Source organism: Homo sapiens, chromosome 11, assembly GCF_000001405.40.
Source record: "Homo sapiens chromosome 11, GRCh38.p14 Primary Assembly".
Classification (NCBI taxonomy): Eukaryota; Metazoa; Chordata; class Mammalia; order Primates; family Hominidae; genus Homo; species Homo sapiens.
Window position 1 is genome coordinate 58,604,745 of NC_000011.10, and position 22,194 is coordinate 58,626,938.

At 37.1% G+C, this 22,194-nt stretch overlaps 2 protein-coding genes and 1 long non-coding RNA gene across 4 annotated transcripts in view; all 3 read left to right on the forward strand.

Annotated features, from left to right (window-relative positions):
• The window catches only part of ZFP91 (ZFP91 zinc finger protein, atypical E3 ubiquitin ligase), a 42,488-nt gene extending 25,682 nt beyond the window's left edge, over positions 1-16,806 (forward strand). The window contains exons 3-11 of one of the 2 annotated variants that reach the window (NM_053023.5): positions 5,086-5,295; positions 5,554-5,590; positions 6,206-6,310; positions 6,860-6,994; positions 7,534-7,584; positions 8,018-8,096; positions 9,485-9,599; positions 11,972-12,071; positions 12,452-16,806. In NM_053023.5, the coding sequence (NP_444251.1) occupies positions 5,086-5,295; positions 5,554-5,590; positions 6,206-6,310; positions 6,860-6,994; positions 7,534-7,584; positions 8,018-8,096; positions 9,485-9,599; positions 11,972-12,071; positions 12,452-12,962 (1,343 nt within the window). In that variant the 3' untranslated portion in view covers positions 12,963-16,806. The remainder of the gene's footprint in view (positions 1-5,085; positions 5,296-5,553; positions 5,591-6,205; positions 6,311-6,859; positions 6,995-7,533; positions 7,585-8,017; positions 8,097-9,484; positions 9,600-11,971; positions 12,072-12,451) is intronic. The other variant, NM_001197051.2, reaches the window with a different exon arrangement.
• The window catches only part of ZFP91-CNTF (ZFP91-CNTF readthrough (NMD candidate)), a 46,620-nt gene extending 25,631 nt beyond the window's left edge, over positions 1-20,989 (forward strand). Inside the window, exons 3-13 of the long non-coding RNA NR_024091.1 lie at positions 5,086-5,295; positions 5,554-5,590; positions 6,206-6,310; positions 6,860-6,994; positions 7,534-7,584; positions 8,018-8,096; positions 9,485-9,599; positions 11,972-12,071; positions 12,452-12,824; positions 18,022-18,122; positions 19,290-20,989. This is a non-coding gene — a long non-coding RNA (ZFP91-CNTF readthrough (NMD candidate)). The remainder of the gene's footprint in view (positions 1-5,085; positions 5,296-5,553; positions 5,591-6,205; positions 6,311-6,859; positions 6,995-7,533; positions 7,585-8,017; positions 8,097-9,484; positions 9,600-11,971; positions 12,072-12,451; positions 12,825-18,021; positions 18,123-19,289) is intronic.
• Positions 17,921-20,989, forward strand: CNTF (ciliary neurotrophic factor). Its single transcript, NM_000614.4, has 2 exons — positions 17,921-18,122; positions 19,290-20,989. Exons 1-2 carry the CDS (start codon positions 18,009-18,011, stop codon positions 19,776-19,778), a joined length of 603 nt encoding a protein of 200 aa, NP_000605.1. The 5' UTR covers positions 17,921-18,008; the 3' UTR covers positions 19,779-20,989.

The following is a 22,194-nucleotide window of genomic DNA, read 5'->3' on the forward strand; positions in this document are numbered from 1 at the left end:
TTTTTTATCTTATCAGCTATCATTAGTGTATTTTATGTGTGGCCCAAGACATGTCATCTCCTTCCAGTGTGGCCCAGGGAAGCCAAAAGATTGGACAACCAGGTCTAACGTGAGTTTCTTGTAGACAGATTGTAGATTGGTTGTATTTTTTGTTAATCCATTCTGCTAATATGTACCTTTTAATTCCACACTATATGTATGTGTAAACTACCGATAAGAATGGCCTGCCATTTTGCTTTGTGTTTTCTACCTGTCTTAATATCTTTTATTTTGATCTTTATTTTCTTTGTATTTCCTTGTGTTGCAGATATATAGCAGTGTACCATCTTCTCTTTTCATTTTCTGTATATTTTTATTTTCTTAGGGGTTACCTGGGGATTGCATTTAGTACTTTAAACTTTATCTAGTTTAATGCCAGTTTAGCTTCAGTAGTAAACATATCTCTGCTCTGTACTATTCTGTGCCTCACCATTTATGTTATTGTTGCAAAGTGTATGTTTTGATGTCAAATGCCCATTAACATAAATTTACAGTTGCTATTTTGTACATTTGTCTTTCAAATCATGTAGGGAGAAAAAGGAGTTAGAAATCAAAAGTACAATATCATATTTTTGCCTCTGTAAAATATGCCAGTGTTTTAATTTATGGCTTTAAGTGCTCTCTAGTGTCCTTTAATTTCATCTTAGAGGATTCCTGATAGCATTTTTTATAGGGCAGATCTACTAGTGATAATCTGTTTTTGATTTTCTGGTAATGTCTTAATTTCATCTTCGTTTTTAAAGAATAGTTTCGGCAGCTATAGAATTCTTGCTTGACGATTTTTTTTTTTCCTTTCATCACTTTGTTATCACACTGCCTTCTGACTTCCATGGTTTCTGATGAGCGGCTGTTAATCTTGTTGAGTATTCCTTGTTGCTTATGAGTCACTTCTTGCTGTTTTTATGGTTCTTTGTATTTGTCTTTCTACCGATTGATAATAATGTGTCTAGGTGGGGATCTCTTTCATTTATCCTACTAGGAGTTAGGTAAAGTTCTTGTTTGTACAGACTATATTCCCCAATAGTTTTTCAAATATTCTTTCTGTTCATTTTCTCCTCTCCTTCTGCAAATCTTATTATGCATCTGTTGGCATGCTTAATGGTTGTCTAAACGATCTCTTAGGCTTTATTTTCCTTTATTCTTTTTTTCTTTATATTCTTCATACTGGATCATCTCTGTTGGCCTAGCTTAAAGTTCACTGATTCTTGTTTTTCAAGTCTGCGGTGAATTTTTAATTTCAGTTATTATACTTCTCAGCTCTAGAATTTTTTTCTCTTAGTTCCTTTTTTGTGGGGGGGGTGTGGTTTCACTCTTGTCGCCTATGCTGGAGTGCAATGGTGTTATCTCGGCTCACTGCACCCTCCACCTCCTGGGTTCAAGTGATTCTCCTACCTCAGCCTCCCAAGTAGCTGAGAATACAGGGATGCGCTGCTACAAGCAGCCCAGCTAATTTTTGTATTTTTAGTAGAGACGGGGTTTTGCCATGTTGGCCAGGCTGGTCTCGAACTCCTGACCTCAGGTGATCCGCCCACCTTGGCCCTCCAGAGTGCTGGGATTACAGGTGTGAGCCACTGTACCCGGCCTCTCTTGGTTCCTTTTTATAGTTATCTTTTTATTGGTATTCTGTATTTGTCGAGACATATTTCTTCTGATTTCCTTTAGTACTTTGTCAGTGATTTTCTTTAGCTCTGATTGTCTTTAGTTCTTTAAACATTGTTTTTTACAACTTTTATTTTAGATTCGGGGGTACATGTGCAGGTTTGTTACTGGGGCATATTGTATGATATGAAATTTAGGATACAAATGATCCCATCATGCAGGTACTGAGCATAGTACCCAATAGTTTTTCAACCTCCCCCCAATAATCTCCAGTTTCTGTTGTTGCCATCTTTATGTCCATGAGTACCTAATGTTTAGCTCCTACTTTGGTCTCTGTGGTCTCTAAAGGTTCTGGTCCTTTCGCTTATATTCATCAAGTGATTTGACAGATTTCCTTAAACATCTTTACTCACCTTTTTCTTGATTCAGTGCTCACTTGGCTTTTATAACCTTTAACTATTGTTAAGAGTTTCCACAAAGTTGATTCTGACAGTGTTTGTTCATGATATGTGTTTATTTCTGTGGAGGGACATTTTTGCTGTCATCTCTGACAGAGTGGTTTTTTTTTAAGACTAGATTTTTAGGGGACGGGAGCAGTAGTATTCAATAAGATAGGCTATTATGCCTTATTCATAATGGTAAACTATTGTTATCAAATTGGCATCATTTATCCAGTGAGTAAAATCTACAGTATAGGAGGTTGTGGGCATACCATCCTTTCATCATGAAGAAGAAAGGAGCTTTGTTGAGGACAGGAGGTTATGGAGTGAGTTCAAAGTCCAACTCGGTACAGTTGGGTTAAGGAAAAAAAAGATGTGTCTATTATTAAATGTTGTAATACTTCATAGGTGGTGTTGAATTGTTCTTTTTGATGAAATTGTTTTAAAAGTAGTCATGACCTATATGTAAAAGTCCTTCATTATTAATCTCAAAATATGATTTCTAAATCTAGGTGTCCTTAGCTAACCTTGTGATTTTGAATAAGCTTCTTTTTTGGGCTTCCAGATACTTTATGGGTAAAACGTAATGGATTGTGCTTAGACTGAATGGCCTTTGAGGTATTTTCACCTATATTAATGTTTTATTTTTTATTTTTTCTATTAAAATAGCTCAGATAGGAGGGTGATGCAATAATGAATGGAAAAAGACAGCTGAAAGGAAATGCACAACTGATTTTGATGGTTGTTTAGAACTGTTCGCACTGCTATTTATCTCTGTGTTTCAAACTAATTTCATTACTTCAGTATATTGTCATAAAACTTTCAGTGTAATTAAAGCTAAAATAGCCTATAGTCACCACATTGCTCCATAGTAAACTATTTTTTAATGTTAAGCAAAAATGTTGCCATACTGTATATATAGTTTTGTGTCTTTTTTATACATTTAACAATATTTTTGCTGATAATTCCATGTCATTTTTAACATAAACCTACCTCTATATAGTATTCAATCATACTAAGGTATCATGGTTTATTTAAGCACTTTATCTTTGACAGAGGGTTAGGTTGTTTCTGTTCTTTGCTATTATAAACATAATACAGTTAACCTCCATGTGGTAGTTTATATTTCTAGGGCATATACTTAAAGGTGAAATTACTACACATATTTTTGGACCTACCTTGGAAGTAACCAGTACTTAAGAATTTCTTGTACTTCTTCCAGAAATGTTATTATAGTATGTAAGATATATATATATACACACACACACACATACTGTAATGACTAATGTGTAGCACTGTTTTTAAGTAGTAGAAGAGTAGACAACTAAACATTCAAAGGGGGATTGGTTTCATAAGTTATATATTTGTGTGTATATATATCTTACATATATATCTCTCTCTTACATATGTACACAATTATTTGTGAAACCAATCCCTCTTTGAATGTTGTTTTCTACTCTTCTACTACTTAAAAACAGTGCTATATGTTAATCATTTATAAATATGATTGTAATTTTGTAGGATAAATTTCTAGTAGTTGAACATCATGTGGAAAGGTATATACATTTATAATTTTGATGTATATTGTCAAATTGGTCTGCATGGAGGTTTTGCTAATACATTATCATATGTGTGTTAGAGGACCTGTTTTCCCACAGTCTTGACAATACATTATGTTGTCAAATATGATCATCCCCAATATGATACATGAAAAATGGTGTCATGCTATCGTTTTCATTTGAGTCTCTTGTTCTGAGTGGATTGAGCTTTGAGCTTTTGTTTTTTGTTTTTTCTTTTTTTGGAATGGAGTCTTGCTCTTTCGCCGAGGCTGGAGTGCAGTGGCGCAGTCTCAGCTCACTGCAACCTCCACCTCCCGGGTTCAAGTGATTCTCCTGCCTCAGCCTCCCCAGTAGCTGGGATTGCAGTTAGGCACCACGACGCCTGGCTACCTTTTGTATTTTTGGTAGAGACGGGGTTTCACCACGTTGGCCAGGCTGGTCACAAACGCCTGACCTTTTGATCTGCCCGCCTTGGCCACTCAAAGTGCTGGGATTACAGGTGTGAGCCACTGAGCCCGGCCTGTTAGTTCCTATTTTTCTATTGGGTTATTAGACTTTGTTTATGGTTGATTTTTGCCATGAGGAAAATTGTTTTTATGTGTATCTTATGACCTGAAATTTTGTTTTATTATTGGGCCTTTCCCGTTCTGAGTTTATTAAAGAATCTTCTATTGTTAAAATGGGCTCAATTCTAATGTACTTTTTTTTTATATAGGTCTAAGTATTTAGCTACGCCAGGTATGAAAGCCAGTTTCTGAGATTAACTTTTTATTACTTACTACTCAAGAGAGGATGACCTACCGTACTTCACCCTTAAAACATGACAAAATATAGGATAACAATAACAGATTTGTGTGTGCTCCTGTACACAATGTCTTATAGGACAACTGAAACAGAATAGCACCAGAGCTGGACTTTACCATTCAATTGCTCTATAGATTAGTTCAAATTTATGGTGTGGTTCCAAGAAAAACTCTTGATTAGAGTGAAAAGTACTCCTGTTAGGAATTCCTCTTTAGTAATTTGTTATAGACTTGTTTGGTTGTAAATAACATCTAGATCTATGGTTCTTTCTTTTTGGTGCCTCTGTAGTTCTGGTCATCTTTTTGGGACTAATTAATTTAGTTTCTTTTAACTTAGATCTAAAAGGTAGAATTTCATGAATCCAGTTACTTAAGTGTATTTTGCATAGTTAGCATTGCATTTTTTAGAAGATAAGGCAGTATAAAATTACTACTTTGCAACATGAAGTAATTTCTTTAGCATGATGACATTAAGGATAAGTTTTATCTCATTTTCCTTTTTTTATTATTTCAATTAAAGTCTTCAGTTTTTTTTCCTTTGAAAATATTTAATTTATCTTCAACTGTATTTACAATTAGTAGATATACAGGGATGGTTATTGGTTAACTGTAAACTTAAAGAGAATGGTATGTCTTTTTATTTAGATCCCAAGGAAGAAAAAGAGGAAGAAGACGATTCTGCCCTCCCTCAGGAAGTTTCCATTGCTGCATCTAGACCTAGCCGGGGCTGGCGTAGTAGTAGGACATCTGTTTCTCGCCATCGTGATACAGAGAACACCCGAAGCTCTCGGTCCAAGACCGGTTCATTGCAGCTCATTTGCAAGTCAGAACCAAATACAGACCAACTTGATTATGGTACAGTGCAACTAGAATATGGCTGTTTACTAACTAGTTGCTGTTACATTTTAAATGTAATGTTGAACATTTGTGTTAACAGCTTAACTGTCAGGGGCAGGTTTGATGGTGTAGGTGGTATTTCTTTGAACAGTTTGCAGATATTCTGCTTTTGTATAATTACCCCATGCAGTAATTTGATTTGCATTTCTTGACTGCAGAGAGAAAATATCTTATATCTACACTAATAAAATTTTGTTTTTGGCTTTGTTTTTCTAGATGTTGGAGAAGAGCATCAGTCTCCAGGTGGCATTAGGTAAAAAAAACATTAATATTTCATTTTTAAACCTTTGGGGACATAGCATAGTCACAGTAAATGATTCAGAAGTTGCTTCCATTTGAAATTATTTTGAGCTGTAAGAGAAATTAACTTCAGTTTTGATACTGCATTTAGATTCCATGTTGAGCTTGATTAGAACTTAAACCATGTAATCTACTTACATAGCTTAGAAATCATGTCTTGAGTATCTTCTGTGTTTGGACTTATTCCATGGTAGGCACTAATGTGAAATATGGGTGTTTTGGCCAAGGTTTTGAGATTTTATTGGAATCTTTTGTGTTGTGATTTATCTGTTAGTAGGTCTTTTAATATAGCAGATCACCAGACAGTATTACAAAGTCAGTTGTTTCTTAACTTTTAATGCCATTGAGTTGTCATCACCCTGTCTTTATCTAGGATTTATGTCTTTTTAGTTTCAATTATTATTCTTTGTGATAAAACAGCTAGATTTCAGTCCAATTAGGTCATTAGGATGAAAATGCTAGATGACTTTATCAGTGTTTGGCTACCTCTTAAAAAATTACCAAATAAAATCCCCTCAGACATGTTCGCTACAACCAGAATGTCTCATTTCTATTTACTTATTTTTAGTAGTGAAGAGGAAGAGGAGGAGGAAGAAGAGATGTTAATCAGTGAAGAGGAGATACCATTCAAAGATGATCCAAGAGATGAGACCTACAAACCCCACTTAGAAAGGCATGTCTCAGATTTTACTGCAGACATGTTAATGAAATATAAGTAGGAAAGCACTGTTGCATGCTTTTATTTTATCTGTTGCCAAGCTAATGGGTATAGAATTAATTTTAAATGAGTAATTAATTATGCACTTCTTTTGTAAGTCTAACACCTTAATATACCCTGATAATAATCCTCTTTCCCATTTGTAGAACTTTATTTTGATTATATACAAGTTTTTATGAGTCTGCATGTTTTATTTCAACAAGGTATCATGAATTGCCTGAATACTTAGAATTTTTTAACTAATTGTCTCGTTTCTCTTTACAATTATAGTGAAATTTGATTTACAGGCATCTTTAGTCTGGGGAGGGTTCATTCCATGAGCAACATATACATATATTTGGATCATTACTATGCATGTGAGGATGATTGGTAGGAAATCACATTTCATGAACTGAGGAAGGTAGTTTTATAACAAATCAGTGATAACTCTAAGCTTTAATTTGTTGTCATAGTCTTCCTTGAAAAGATCTTTTGTCTAGTATTGAAATGCATTTGTGTTTTCAGGGAAACCCCAAAGCCACGGAGAAAATCAGGGAAGGTAAAAGAAGAGAAGGAGAAGAAGGAAATTAAAGTGGAAGTAGAGGTGGAGGTGAAAGAAGAGGAGAATGAAATTAGAGAGGATGAGGAACCTCCAAGGAAGTGAGTAGGCAATTATTAAAAATGAAAATCTAACAGATTTTGAACGACTAGTGGAAAAAAGAGTGGGAGTGTGAGGAAGGATGTTGACGTATACATGCTTCAAAATATGTATTTTTTAACTTAAAAAAATTTGGCCTCAAGCAGCTGACAATTTCACTGGAGAGACTCTTAGTAAAAAAATGTTTAGGTTTTTCAGTTCTATTGCAAGGAGAAGGTATTTTTTAATCTTAGTGTTTTTAGATGATACATGGTAGCAACTCTAAAAGTAATACATTGAGATTCTTCTAAGTCTTTCATAGTATTGCATAGTTTATGGAAGGTATATATTTAATCTGTCTTACAGACTGATTTGAAAGTGAAATTACTTCAGGGTAAAATTACTTGCTTGATTTGCCAGATATATCTTTGACTTTATGTATTCTTGGTTATCCTTTGCCACTTGTTCTTTGGCCGTGTGTGTGTGTGTGTGTCTTCAGCCAGCCTTCACTGTGTAGTTTTGATTCAGAATATGTCTACTGTTACCCTGTCTTCAATTACAGGAGAGGAAGAAGACGAAAAGATGACAAAAGTCCACGTTTACCCAAAAGGAGGTGAGGAATTTTTACCCCTACTGTTTTACACCTTATTCCAGTACCAGGCACTTTACTCACAAATTTAGACTTCATGATAATCCTGCAGGAATGGCTATTTAAAAATTTCACAAAAGCAACTTCACTAATGTCCTAGATGCACAGGTGTTATGATCTTATTTTCATTGTAAGAGCTTGAAATTTCTAACAATCTTAATACTTTACCTTTGGGGGGTCATTAGTTTATTTGTGTTACTTTTTAATTCTGTCAAATATTTGCTAATTCTTGGTTACTTCTAATACAAATTCTGTGTAATCTGTATAGTAGTAAAGAGATTTTAATTCTTCCTACTATAAAATAGCTATTCCCAATAGCACAGTTTAAGTCAGAGGCCACTGTGCAGAGTACCACTTTTTTTTTTTTGCTAACTTTTCTTCTGCATTTTGATAATAGAAAAAAGCCTCCAATCCAGTATGTCCGTTGTGAGATGGAAGGATGTGGAACTGTCCTTGCCCATCCTCGCTATTTGCAGGTCAGTGAAGTTGTTATATAAGAGCCTTTCAGGTTGTGTTCCATTACTTGTTCTTGCACCACGAGACTTTAATTTGTTGGCTTGTGTAGGCTTTATCATTGACATGTAATGTCAAGAAAAGTCTTTCTTTAAACATAAAATGACTTTAACCCATTTATGCCTAGTGTTCCATTATTAGAATGCTAAGCTTGGGCAAGTTATTTATATCCTACTGTTCAAGGTCATCACCAAGGTCTGATTTTTCACAAAAATACATTTGCAACCTCCAGCATAAATGGGTTAATCATGATTAGTCCATTTGTGCTGCTATAATAGAGTACCTGAGACTGGGTAATTTACAAAGAACATATATTTATTTATTAGCTTGTGGTTCTGGAGACTGGAAAGTCCAAAAGCATGGTGCCCACATCTCACAAGAGCCTTTTAACTGTGTCAGCCCATGGTGGAAGGGCAAGAATGGGTTGAACTTGCTTTTGTAACAAATCTACTCCAATGATAATATCAACCCATTTATATAAGGGTAGAGCCTTTAAGACCTAAGCACCTCCCATTAGGTCCCGCCTTCCAACACTATCACATTGGGGATTAAGTTTCCAACACATGAACTGTGGTGAACACATCCAAATTCATAGCACCTCCTGTTTAAAAAGAGGTGACTAAGAATCTGAACCCACATAGAGAACTTTCGTTGGAATCTTTCAATATTACAGTAATTCCCAATGTGGTGTAAATACAGAGTAACATTTTATTTTAAAGTGATTTAGAAAAAAAGTAAAATTAGAACTCAAACCTGTGATTTCTTGGGTACTGTGTAGAATGAATAAAAGACTTTTAGTTGAGGTTTTGTTTTTATTTTTCTTGAGTAGATTATTATTATTATTTTTGATGAGTAAACGTACCACTTATATTTAGGTCTGGCAGGAAACGTGAAAGTGAAATACTGCTTAGGAAATACCTGTTTGATCTTCAGCAACAAATATAACATGACACGAAGGCCTTCTTCTGGATCGTGGTTCAGTTATAACAATAGCCGCTCCTCCTCTGCTGTGTGCCATTTGCTGCTCTAAAGCACAGTACAATACATAATCTCTTATCCCCATAACAACACTTTGAGATGGTTATTGTTACCTCCATTTTACAAATGAGAACTGGAGCTTGAAATATTTGTCTCCTAAGATTACAAAGGCTAGTGAATGACAGACCCAGATTGGAAACCAGGTCTGTGTATTTCCACCTATGTTCTTAGCCACTTTATTATACTCCCTCACTATCCATGTGTGAAATCTAAGTATTTGGTTTTCCTTCAGTACTTTTGACTTAGCAAAGACAAGTACTTTCAGGAAGCCTTAATTTTTTTTTTTTCGCCCCTTTCACTTTCTCTGTTTTAGCACCACATTAAATACCAGCATTTGCTGAAGAAGAAATATGTATGTCCCCATCCCTCCTGTGGACGACTCTTCAGGCTTCAGAAGCAACTTCTGCGACATGCCAAACATCATACAGGTACTTTTAAAATGTGTTTATCAAGTAGGTAATTGCACTGTGCTTTAGTTTTGCATGTTGGTAATGATAACGTTTTTCTAACATAAGTCTTAAAAGATTCTATAGTCAAGTGCGGGGAAAAGGTGTGAAAATAAAATGTAGTAAGACAAATTTTACAAGGGATGGGCAGACTAGGACTTTTGAATTTTTATCCTTTGACTTCTTGAACTTCTATGACCGGGATAATGATCTTCTATTGAGCATTTATTCTGTATCAACTGTGGACTAAATACGTTATGTATATTATTGCTAATTAGTCTATTCAACACCACTAAATTTGTTTATATTGATCTTATTTTACAGCTAAGAAACTAGAAGCTTGGCAGGATTAAGTAACCTGCCCATGGTCACATAGCTAGTTTTTAGGAGAAGCATAATACTCTGCTGCTATTGAAACTGTGAAGTCTAGCTGTTGAATTTGCATGTAAACTCCCATAGGAACTGTCAAAAAGAGTTGCTGAGTGTCTGCAATATGTATTATAGAATAGACTCAAATTCAATTTATTTGTAACCACTGACCATCTCAGTGCAGTGTACCTAATAGGAACAAATTGGGTGCATACCACTGAGTATGTCCCAGACACTTGATAATTACACATTACCTTCTCAACAGTCTTAGAGAGTAAGTCTAGGAATTCTAGTTGTAGAAATATGTCTCCTGCCCAAGGTCATACTGATAAATGAAATAACTCCTTCATTTACTGTAGGAAAGTTACTTAACTTCTCTTTTCACTTTTCCTTCTCTGTGTATTAAGGATACCAATATCAGTTATTGTAGGGATGAAATGAGATAACATAAAATGCTATTGACTACACAGAGCCTGGCACAATACCAGGATTGAACTTGAATCTTAATCACTCCAAAGTCTACAGTTTTCTTATACCATGTTTCTTCAGAGTTATTTCCACAAGTAACAGTTATTTCTGTTTCTTGATAGGTACTGCAATTTCTCTGTTCCTTCTGCTCCCTGTTAATACTGTTTTATGCCATAGAAAAGTTGTTTCTGACAGCCACTTTAGATTGTTTTAGTTAAATATCAAAAGCGTATGAAAAACTTTTATAAATTCAGTCCATTTCAAATATTTATATTTGGTTAATACAATTTATGATGTTTTACTTTTGCAAATTAGTATATACAGACTTTTTTTTGCAAATGTCATTTATTTAGCAAATAGATGCCCCACACAGGTTTGTCCTGCTATGGAACTGGAAATGTGGACATGACCTGGGAGATGCTAAGAGTTTCCTAAGTTAGAACTGTGCGTTTTTAGACCTTGCTATATAAAGTATGGAATACAGACCAACCAGCATTGACATCATTTGGGTTCTTATTAGAGATACAGAATCTCAGGCCCTGCTTCAGACCTGCTGAATCAGCATATACATTTAATAAGCTATCCAGGTGATCTCTAAGCTGTTTGGAAAGGAGTATAAGATTAAATTGGATATTGTTCACCTTTTAACTTAAATTCATGTTTTCATTCTCATTAATTCTGGTAATTTGAAGCAAAAGGAGTAGAAAATGTAGTGGTCATTAATTCAACAAATATATATAGAGAGCATCTCTTTGTGCACGGGCTTCCCAAACACGGTAAAGAAATGAATAAGTACAATGCTCCTTTTTCCTCCTCATAGATTCCACACCGTGTTACCACATTCATCAGAAATCCTGCATAATGGGGTTGAGGGTGTTGTGAGTGACAAAGGGAGGTAGTTGAAAGGTGCAGAAGATGGGTAGGAGAATAAGGTAAAGTAGTACAGGTGTTATTTACATATATTTGATAGCAGCAACTCCAGTCTTTTGAGAAAAGTTTATCTTGAGTAACATTTTTTAAACCTGAAACAGGGTATGATTACCTTTAGATCAGTTTTCTTCTATACAGTGCCAAGTTCTTGTTTTTTGTTTTTGTTTTGTTTGAATGCCAGATTCTTTCTGTGTAATCATTCAGTTTTCATTGTCTGTGAAAAAAATTGTTTACTCCTTAAAGGAGTAAAATATATGGAAAATATAGTTGTTTACTTGCTAACCACTTGGTATCCAAGACCTGGATTAGTGGTAAAATTGAGATTAGGATTCCATTTCTTATATTTTTATCTAGTTTTTCTGTTTGTTTTTGTTTTTTTTTAAACAGGTCCTTATGCTACTGAATGTTGGATTTTTTTTAAAGCAATACTTTTCTTTTTTAAATTTTGTTTACCCAAAGTGTTTATACATTGAAAACAGCATTGCTTTTACTCTAAATTGCCTGCCCCATCATCTGCTTACTTACTGTAAGGGAAAATATTTACAGGGTATCTAAATAGAACACTAACCACAGTATTTTCTTCATAGATCAAAGGGATTATATCTGTGAATATTGTGCTCGGGCCTTCAAGAGTTCCCACAATCTGGCAGTGCACCGGATGATTCACACTGGCGAGAAGCCATTACAGTGAGTATTATTTACTGGTGAACATCTGGGTGAGAAGGATATATGCCCTACTTGAAGGTTTGCCGCTTTACAAACATATTAGTTGCCACTGCTGTTTACTTTCATCAAATAAATGAGTGGATATTGATTGGGGGCATTAGTTAGTAGCCTTTTTCTTAGTTTCCCTCTGTTTTTCAGGCAAACAGAAGAAGATCAGATTAGTTTTCCATCTAGTAACATTTCCCAATCCTTCAAAAGAAGTATGTTACTGATTATTGTGTGTGTGTGTGTGTGTGTGTGTGTGTATGTATATATATGCTCTAAACTCTAACCCTGATCCTGAATAAGAGCACTCTTTATTTCTCTGTTGGATCAGCCATTTCCTTTTCTCCTCTCCTTAGATGTGAGATCTGTGGATTTACTTGTCGACAAAAGGCATCTCTTAATTGGCACATGAAGAAACATGATGCAGACTCCTTCTACCAGTTTTCTTGCAATATCTGTGGCAAAAAATTTGAGAAGAAGGACAGCGTAGTGGCACACAAGGCAAAAAGCCACCCTGAGGTGCTGATTGCAGAAGCTCTGGCTGCCAATGCAGGCGCCCTCATCACCAGCACAGATATCTTGGGCACTAACCCAGAGTCCCTGACGCAGCCTTCAGATGGTCAGGGTCTTCCTCTTCTTCCTGAGCCCTTGGGAAACTCAACCTCTGGAGAGTGCCTACTGTTAGAAGCTGAAGGGATGTCAAAGTCATACTGCAGTGGGACGGAACGGGTGAGCCTGATGGCTGATGGGAAGATCTTTGTGGGAAGCGGCAGCAGTGGAGGCACTGAAGGGCTGGTTATGAACTCAGATATACTCGGTGCTACCACAGAGGTTCTGATTGAAGATTCAGACTCTGCCGGACCTTAGTGGACAGGAAGACTTGGGGCATGGGACAGCTCAGACTTTGTATTTAAAAGTTAAAAAGGACAAAAAAAAAATCTAAAGCATTTAAAATCTAGTGAAATAACTGAAGGGCCTGCTCTTTCCATTGTGGATCACAGCACACACATACATACACCCTCCACCTCCCCATCCCCTGTTCTCCCTCTGTTGCTCCCCTTATAAAATTGATGTTGTCTTTACCAGAAAGGTAGACAAAAAAGAAGCAGCAGCAGCTCTTAAAGTGAGGGTTATTCTCATACTCGGTTCCAGCCATCAGCAGACTTCCTGCTCATCGGCAGATCCCCCTTTCCAACCTGTAACTCTGATGTGCTCTGGATCAGCTTTTAACTTTTAATCATATATTACTGTCTTCTAAATCCCTTCTCCTCCTCTACTGCTGCCCTATGGTTCTGGCTCCTACCCCCTGCGGCACACTTATCTTCAAATACCATAGAATTCTAATCTCTGGAGGCTGGCAGCTTGACTTGGCACTTTAGGGCCCCTTAGCAGGGTGAGCTGTTAAAACAGCACACATCTCTCATCCCCTCTTCCTTTATTCCCCCCTGGGTTTCAGAAAGGAAGGATATATGGGGACCACCTCCCCCTTCTTTGATCCCAGCATCTCAGTCCCCCTCCCAACCCTCCATATGGCTCTCAATGGTGCTCACTTGCTTGGAAGCAGGCTCCCAATAGGGAGGGGGCTGCCCTCTACAGTCTCTTTGACTGTAAGACAGGGCTCTGTATCAGTGAGACGATGAGAAAAGTCCCAGGCTAATGGCAGAAATTTGCACTTTGAACATGTGTGTTTTTGTGTTGTGGAACCTGAGATTCCTTATTTATTAACAGGAAGTCTGATTTTTTTTTTTTGGAGTCTTTGTTGCTATATTTTGTGGGGCTGGGAGAGAGAGATTAGATTATTTTGACATGGGATCCCTTCCATAACAGGTACTTTGAAGGCAAGACATAGGGTTGAAGAAGCACAGCCAGCCTCTGAAATCATAGCTCTCCAGTGGCTTTTAAAGAAAGCTGGTCCTCAGCACTAACAAAATCACTACAATAGCCTAGTGCTTTTTTGGAAGCCTTTTTAGGGAAGAATGTTAGGTTCATGGTAACTAGTATGCTCTTTGAGATTTTTACAGTGTTGAAACTTAAGAATTTTGAGAGGGTGAGGAGGGTTGTTCAGAATCTAAATTACAGATAGATGATTGTTTCTTGTGAATTTGTTTCTTTTCCTTTTTTTTTGTCCCTACCATTTCCTTACATTTCCCTTGGGGCCCATCTCTGGCTCCTTGCTTTTTGTTTCTTGCTTTGCTTTATCAGTTCATTCCAGCTCCCTGTTAGTGAAGGACACTGCTGTTAGTGAAGGAACAAAGTCTATGAGTCCTAAAATTTTAAGTCAAAGAAAACTGCTCTGTTTCCCCTTTAGTAACACTTCTGAAGAGGAAAAACTTCAATAGCCAAAGTTAATAATCCTATATAATAATTGCTTTGGCTTTCACCTAAAATTCTGGGCATCACAATTTCCTTGGGATAGAGGTTGTGTTGGGGAATAGATTGCTTATTGCTGTTCACTGGAGAGAAAAGGTAGTGTTTTTGTACAAGGTCATACCGCCAGAAGCCCCAAATCCTATTTTGGCTCATCTTCAGGTAAAGAGTAATTCCTATCCTGTGTGCCTCAGAAGCTAGAATCGAAGGCTTACCCTATTCATTGTTTATTGTCAGAAATGCATGATGGCTCTTGGAAAGAATGACGTTTTGCTGGAAAAAAAAAAAAGAACAGTTTGTGTTTCACAAACATGGCTTATCAATTTTTTCAAAGAATTCTTTTTTCCCAAAAAGAGGAGTAACAAAATGTCATTTCTGAAAGAGGCTTACTTTATACCAACTAGTGTCAGCATTTGGGATGCCAGGGAACAGAGAGTGAGACACCTACAATCACCAGTCTCAAATGCGCTATTGTTTCTTTTCAGAGTGTTGCAGATTTGCCATTTCTCCATAATATGGGGATAGAAAATGGAATAAAGATAGAAGGGATGTAGAATATGCTTTCCTGCCAACATGGTTTGGAGTCGACTTTGGTATATTGACTAGATTTGAAAATACAAGATTGATTAGATGAATCTACAAAAAAGTTGTCCTCCTCTCAGGTCCCTTTTACACTTTTTGACTAACTAGCATCTATATTCCACACTTAGCTTTTTTGTCACACTTATCCTTTGTCTCCGTAAATTTCATTTGCAGTGGTTAGTCATCAGATATTTTAGCCACCTACACAAAAGCAAACTGCATTTTTAAAAATCTTTCTGAGATGGGAGAAAATGTATTCTCCTTTCCTATACCGCTCTCCCAACAAAAAAACAACTAGTTAGTTCTACTAATTAGAAACTTGCTGTACTTTTTCTTTTCTTTTAGGGGTCAAGGACCCTCTTTATAGCTACCATTTGCCTACAATAAATTATTGCAGCAGTTTGCAATACTAAAATATTTTTTATAGACTTTATATTTTTCCTTTTGATAAAGGGATGCTGCATAGTAGAGTTGGTGTAATTAAACTATCTCAGCCGTTTCCCTGCTTTCCCTTCTGCTCCATATGCCTCATTGTCCTTCCAGGGAGCTCTTTTAATCTTAAAGTTCTACATTTCATGCTCTTAGTCAAATTCTGTTACCTTTTTAATAACTCTTCCCACTGCATATTTCCATCTTGAATTGGTGGTTCTAAATTCTGAAACTGTAGTTGAGATACAGCTATTTAATATTTCTGGGAGATGTGCATCCCTCTTCTTTGTGGTTGCCCAAGGTTGTTTTGCGTAACTGAGACTCCTTGATATGCTTCAGAGAATTTAGGCAAACACTGGCCATGGCCGTGGGAGTACTGGGAGTAAAATAAAAATATCGAGGTATAGACTAGCATCCACATAGAGCACTTGAACCTCCTTTGTACCTGTTTGGGGAAAAAGTATAATGAGTGTACTACCAATCTAACTAAGATTATTATAGTCTGGTTGTTTGAAATACCATTTTTTTCTCCTTTTGTGTTTTTCCCACTTTCCAATGTACTCAAGAAAATTGAACAAATGTAATGGATCAATTTAAAATATTTTATTTCTTAAAAGCCTTTTTTGCCTGTTGTAATGTGCAGGACCCTTCTCCTTTCATGGGAGAGACAGGTAGTTACCTGAATATAGGTTGAAAAGGTTATGTAAAAAGAAATTATAATAAAAGGGATACTTTGCTTTTCAAATCTTTGTTTTCTCTTATTCTAGGTAAGGCATATTAAAAATAAATATGTAAAGAAGAAAAATAAAAGTTGTCTTCATGGAAGCAACTTGTCTTCCTTGGTTGTACTGAGTTACAGTTATCCTAGGGGTGAAACATGTGATGCTGCTAAGCAAACCAAATGCCCTCAGAACAGGTGTTATGTGGGGCATACTATTGTTTGCTTTTGTTGAGAATCAGGTGGTTAATTTTTGACTGTTCTTGATTTCTAATGCTGAAATGACATGATTCTGTTATTCAGCAAACTTGGAAATCTTGATGTTTTGACAACTGCCTCCTAGGAAAACTGGCCATATGTTAATTAACCTAGTAGATGGAAAATTAAGGATTATGTGAGGTTAATTTTACCCTGATAATGACAAAACCTTGATAGCATTTAATATTAATACTTCTTCTCAAAATTGAATGTTTATATCAAGTACTGATTTTTATTTTAAAAAAGAAAAAACTATAATCCTTCTGCCTTCCAAAAGCCATGCTGTGATAGCTGCCCAGGCTGCTCTGTTACATCTCCCATTTATTGTTTACTTTTATAAATTTGCTTCTAAGATGGTATGTGTTTCAGCTTATTGGCAATATCTATGATATAAATAATGAAAGCTAATTATTTCATTTAGCCCTTACCCAATAAGCATCATTTTCTAAGTTAAATGCAATAGAATGACAACCCTCCAAGTACCTTTTAACTTTTATACTGTCATTTCAAAGCCCAGCTCATTCTCTTATTTTAAGAAGCATGTGGTATGACTGGGTAGGGGAGAAAAAAGGAAAGCATGTTGTCACTTGAGTGAGACTGCTTTAGAAATGTTACCAAGTTAGCGTTGGGTGTTTCCTGTTCTTTGGAAGAGAACAGGCCTAAACAGTACCTTCCTCCTCCTATGTAGCTACCAGGAAGGCACCGTGATTGAAATTAGAGATGCTTCCTTGCTTGATTTTTAAGTATAAATTAAATTACCTTTAAAAAGTACGTAAGGTTAGGAGTGAAAAAAATCCTGTTTTTAAAGGACTTCACACACCCTTTGTTTCTTGAACAAGATGTGAACTACCTAAACAGAAAATGAAATTGGAAAGTCAGTGGGAGAGACAACTATAGAATCAGACTTCTATTTAAATTCAAGCCTCGTTACTTGATTTTGTGCATGTTATTTCTTGAAGTTTCAGTTTCTTATATGGAGAAATAACATTTACCTCAGAAATATTCTGAAGATCAAATGGAATTGCTTTAAAGTATTTAGCTTACTGACTGACCCATGGTAGATACTTAATAAATGGCAGCTGTGTCAATAACAATTTTATTGAATGAACATTTCGCCAGCCTATGAGAAAAAAGACATGGGAAGCATAAGGGAGAATGATAATAAAATGAACTAATTCTAAGTGTGTGAGATAGATTACATTAGGCAGGGGTGCCATGAGGATTGGTATGATAGTGACCTTGTTGCTAAGTGCAAAAGCAAAACAATGACATAGAAACAAGTGTGCTAAGTACTGAGTGGAGGAGAGAGATGGAGGCAGACGCTGCAGGGGAAAAAAAATCTGATTAAAAAGGGCCCTTTGATTCCACAGGCACAAAAATCCACAGCCAGGAATTTGCTACCTCCTCTGAGTCAGGCAGGGCGTGGGGGTGGGGTGCACAATCCCATTAGTAGAGAATGCCCAGTGGGTTTAGTCTTTGAGAGTCACATCTCTTATTTGGACCAGTATAGACAGAAGTAAACCCAGCTGACTTGTTTCCTGGGACAGTTGAGTTAAGGGATGGCTTTCACAGAGCATTCACCGCTGACCCCTCACCGTCGGGACCTCTGTAGCCGCTCTATCTGGCTAGCAAGGAAGATTCGTTCAGACCTGACTGCTCTTACGGAATCCTATGTAAGTTGCCTATTTTGCTGTTATCTGTTTTCCCTTCATCTTTTTTGATCCAGCAACTTACCATCACGCATCAGCTCCATTACCAATTGTGAAAGCTCTAATCATATAGTCATTCATATAGGTTATTTGACATGGGCCCTTCCCTTGAGGAAACCCATGTGACTTTATTTTCTTCCTCTGGGCTGTTTAGGAGATGAAGTTACTTGAATGAGAAAATATATATGGAGTTCTAGAAAGGATTGGTTTATATGTCTTGGAGGCTATTCCAAATTTATTGGCATATATTCTGAATACTACTAGAACAGATTAGCCATGGGCCCTCTGGGTTCTTCATAGCCATTGTTCTGAATTTTTTAGCTATGTAAATGAAAGGTTTATGGGATAGGAAGAGTACTATGAACGTGGGAGGAATTTGTAAATCCTACCAATTTCTCCTATATAGCATTAGCCACCCACCTTTTAGTATTCTGCATCAAAAGTAGATTGTGTCTAAAGAGAAAGGTAAGCTATCAAAAGGATCTCCTAGAAGATTCATTGGAAACTTGTGGAAGTGTCAAATTCTTGAGCTAATTCTGGAGTTCCAGATTTGTCTTCTAACAGTAAGGGGATCCCCATCAATTTCCACCTGAGATATGCTGTGGAAATACTCCAACCCCTGTGGAGAGTTTTGAATTTAGGCTGAGAACTGATTTATCTTTGTACAGCCTCACCAGACAGAAATCAGACTCTTTGGGAGTGCTCAATGGGGAGAGGGAAGTTAGAGAAATTCTACAATGGCTATATTCCAAGTTTTCCTAGTTGTGGCCAGTGTCTTTTACAAGTATGTTTAAAAATACTTTAATATGATTAAAATATTCCAGTTAATGAGAGAGTTTGAAGTGAGAAGGAAAAATTCTTCTAAATCAGTTTTCAACCTTTAGAACTCAATAAAATCTGAACATTCTTCTAAGAAAAATCCATAGGTAGTCAATTTCAGGCAGTATTGGGTCTTTCTAAAGTCCAGTCATAGAGCCCAAATTAAGAGTTCCTACTGTAGACATATTATTTACTTTACAACTTGGATCCTTGGCCAGAGAGATGAGTGAGATTTTGTATGAAATTTAGGGGTGATTTAAGGACACTGGGGTGATGACAGAAGATGTGGTGTTTTCCTGTATCCTCGGCCAGGTGAAGCATCAGGGCCTGAACAAGAACATCAACCTGGACTCTGCGGATGGGATGCCAGTGGCAAGCACTGATCAGTGGAGTGAGCTGACCGAGGCAGAGCGACTCCAAGAGAACCTTCAAGCTTATCGTACCTTCCATGTTTTGTTGGCCAGGCTCTTAGAAGACCAGCAGGTGCATTTTACCCCAACCGAAGGTGACTTCCATCAAGCTATACATACCCTTCTTCTCCAAGTCGCTGCCTTTGCATACCAGATAGAGGAGTTAATGATACTCCTGGAATACAAGATCCCCCGCAATGAGGCTGATGGGATGCCTATTAATGTTGGAGATGGTGGTCTCTTTGAGAAGAAGCTGTGGGGCCTAAAGGTGCTGCAGGAGCTTTCACAGTGGACAGTAAGGTCCATCCATGACCTTCGTTTCATTTCTTCTCATCAGACTGGGATCCCAGCACGTGGGAGCCATTATATTGCTAACAACAAGAAAATGTAGCAGTTAGTCCCTTCTCTCTTCCTTGCTTTCTCTTCTAATGGAATATGCGTAGTTCCCTGGGGCCTCGCTTTCCCATCTTAAATTTCTAAAAACAGTTAAGACAACAGGCATTTTCTTTCTTTTTTCTCTGACCACCTGCAGCCTGTTGAAGGACTACAGGTATTTTCATCAAGTAGCGTTGGAGACATACACAAATGGGCATACAAGTTTAGCCTGGGGGGTGTGATTTGTGTGCGTGCTTGCATGTGCTGCAGGTGTAAGAGAGTGGGAGCAGGGACAACGTCCTTCCACTTCAGGGTTCTAACCTTTCTAACCCACTAAGTAACCTCTACAGGCATTTAACTGCCTTACAGACAGAATATACATATGTTAATTCTAGTCCTGGATGACTCGGTCTGAGAAGATTCAATTTAAAATCAGACTCTTTAGTTGATTTAAACTCTTAGAGAATAAGAATAATAATGGCTAACTTTTATTATCTTCTATATTAAGGCAGTATGCCAAGGGTCTTTATGTATATTATGTACAGCGTTTACAACCTTGTGAGCAAGGTGGTGTTACTCCCATTAGGTAGATGAGAAAACAGGCTCACAGAGATTTGGTTAAGCTCACACAGCTAACAAGTAGCACACTGAGTTTGAACACAGATCATTCTCCTTGTAAAAGCCTATGTGCCTTTCACTTTAGAGGCTTGATCATGAATCACTGCACCTCTTTGTCACAGGGTGTTGGAAGATGCATCCATGTAATCTATTCCCATCGCTGGAAAACAGCTGCTGTTAGATGTCCTCAGAAGTCAGTTGCAAATTTTAGCGTTAAAGTCAGGATTTATTGTTCATACTTGGCGGTGAGGAGGGCAGCTGGAGATCTTAAGATTCCATTTTGGAAAATGATTAGGCCCGCCAAACTTCTGAACTTTGGAAGCTGGGGATGTTTAGTAATACAGCCTGGTTTTTAAGTACTCACTAAAAGTTCTCAAATATTGGGTTGGGCACGGCTTATACCAGGTTACCTCACTTTTAATTAGTGATGCAGGCAGTGTAACCCAAGCATTTGTGGACAATGAGTGGAATACTAAAGTTAAAAAGTCAAACTTTCACCTCAGATTTTCTGGACTTAGTCATGAGGAGAGGGTGAGGCCCACTCTGTTCCTACTGGAGATACCAGAGACTCTGAAACTATAGAATAAAGCCTCTGTGCTGCACAACAAAGGGGCAGGCTCTGCTTTTATTTCTTGTAAGAACCAACATAGTATGAAAGGTTGGTCAATGCGGACATTAATGGAAAAGGCCATGTACTGGTGGTGTGATGTGAATCCAGAAATTTTCAAGTGTGTCATTTATTTTATACTTATCAATTAAAACTCAAGATCATGGATTGGGAGACCAAGTTAATTTAATTAACTGGGGCTTCTGTATTCGTAAATGAACCATGAGTCAGGGCTAACTCCCATAGGTTTCATGAGGTGTGGATGAGTAGCTTAGCTTGTATCCTTTCTCACATGGGTGTGTGTACAAAACTCCATGAAGTCACTATTACCAGAGTACTCTGGGCTAGGCATTGTAACAGTTCAGGGAAAGTAAGGCCCTGCTTTCTAATATGCATTTGTGGCAATATGGTTGTGAGTGTGTATACACACACACGTACATTACTGTGATCAGTGATGCAGACAGTGTAACCCAAGCCTTTGTGGACAGTGAGTGGAATACTACTCAAGTTAAAAAGTCACAGAACTCCTTCACCTCACATTCTCTGGACTTAGTCATGAGGAGAGGGTGAGGCCTACTCTGTTCTCACTGGAGATACCAGAGATTCTGTAAACACACAAACACACACACACACACACACACACACACATAGTCGAAATTATAAGTCCCAGGTTTGTTAGGAAGCTAAAGGAAGGAGAGGGGCCCAAAGTAGTTTCCCGGAGGAGGTAGGAGTTGTGTCTCAGTACAAAACTACAAAATACTCTGTACTGGTTGAGTACAAAAGAGAAGTCATGAGAGAAGGGAAGAGGTGATCATTTGTAATTTTGGCACTGAATGTATAGTCTTATTCCATTCAAGCTTTCTCTTAATTCTGCTTAACAGCAGCATTCTCAAATAATAAAATTTCTGCTTATTAATATGAAGCTCTTAGAGCTATCTGGATAATACTTCTGTTCAATGGAGAAATATGTCTACAATTTCTTAATGGGGAATAACTGACTATGAATTTGCTGCATCTAAAATGACCCCATCAATTATACATGTAAAAATAAATTTTTGAAATTTTTTAAATAAAAAATTAAAAGATGTTGCCCCCATACTCCCTCCATCAAAAATGTTTTTAAAAAATGAGTGTCCCCTCTCCAAGTGTTTTTATGTTCAGCAGGTACAGCAGCAGACATCTGCAGAAGTTTCAGAACTCAGTGGAG

Coding starts and splice junctions, on each gene's coding strand:
- CNTF (NM_000614.4), top strand. CDS start 18,009: ATGGCTTTCACAGAGCATTCACCGCTGACCCCTCACCGTCGGGACCTC. Junction 18,123..19,289: donor CTGCTCTTACGGAATCCTAT/GTAAGTTGCCTA, acceptor ATCCTCGGCCAG/GTGAAGCATCAGGGCCTGAA.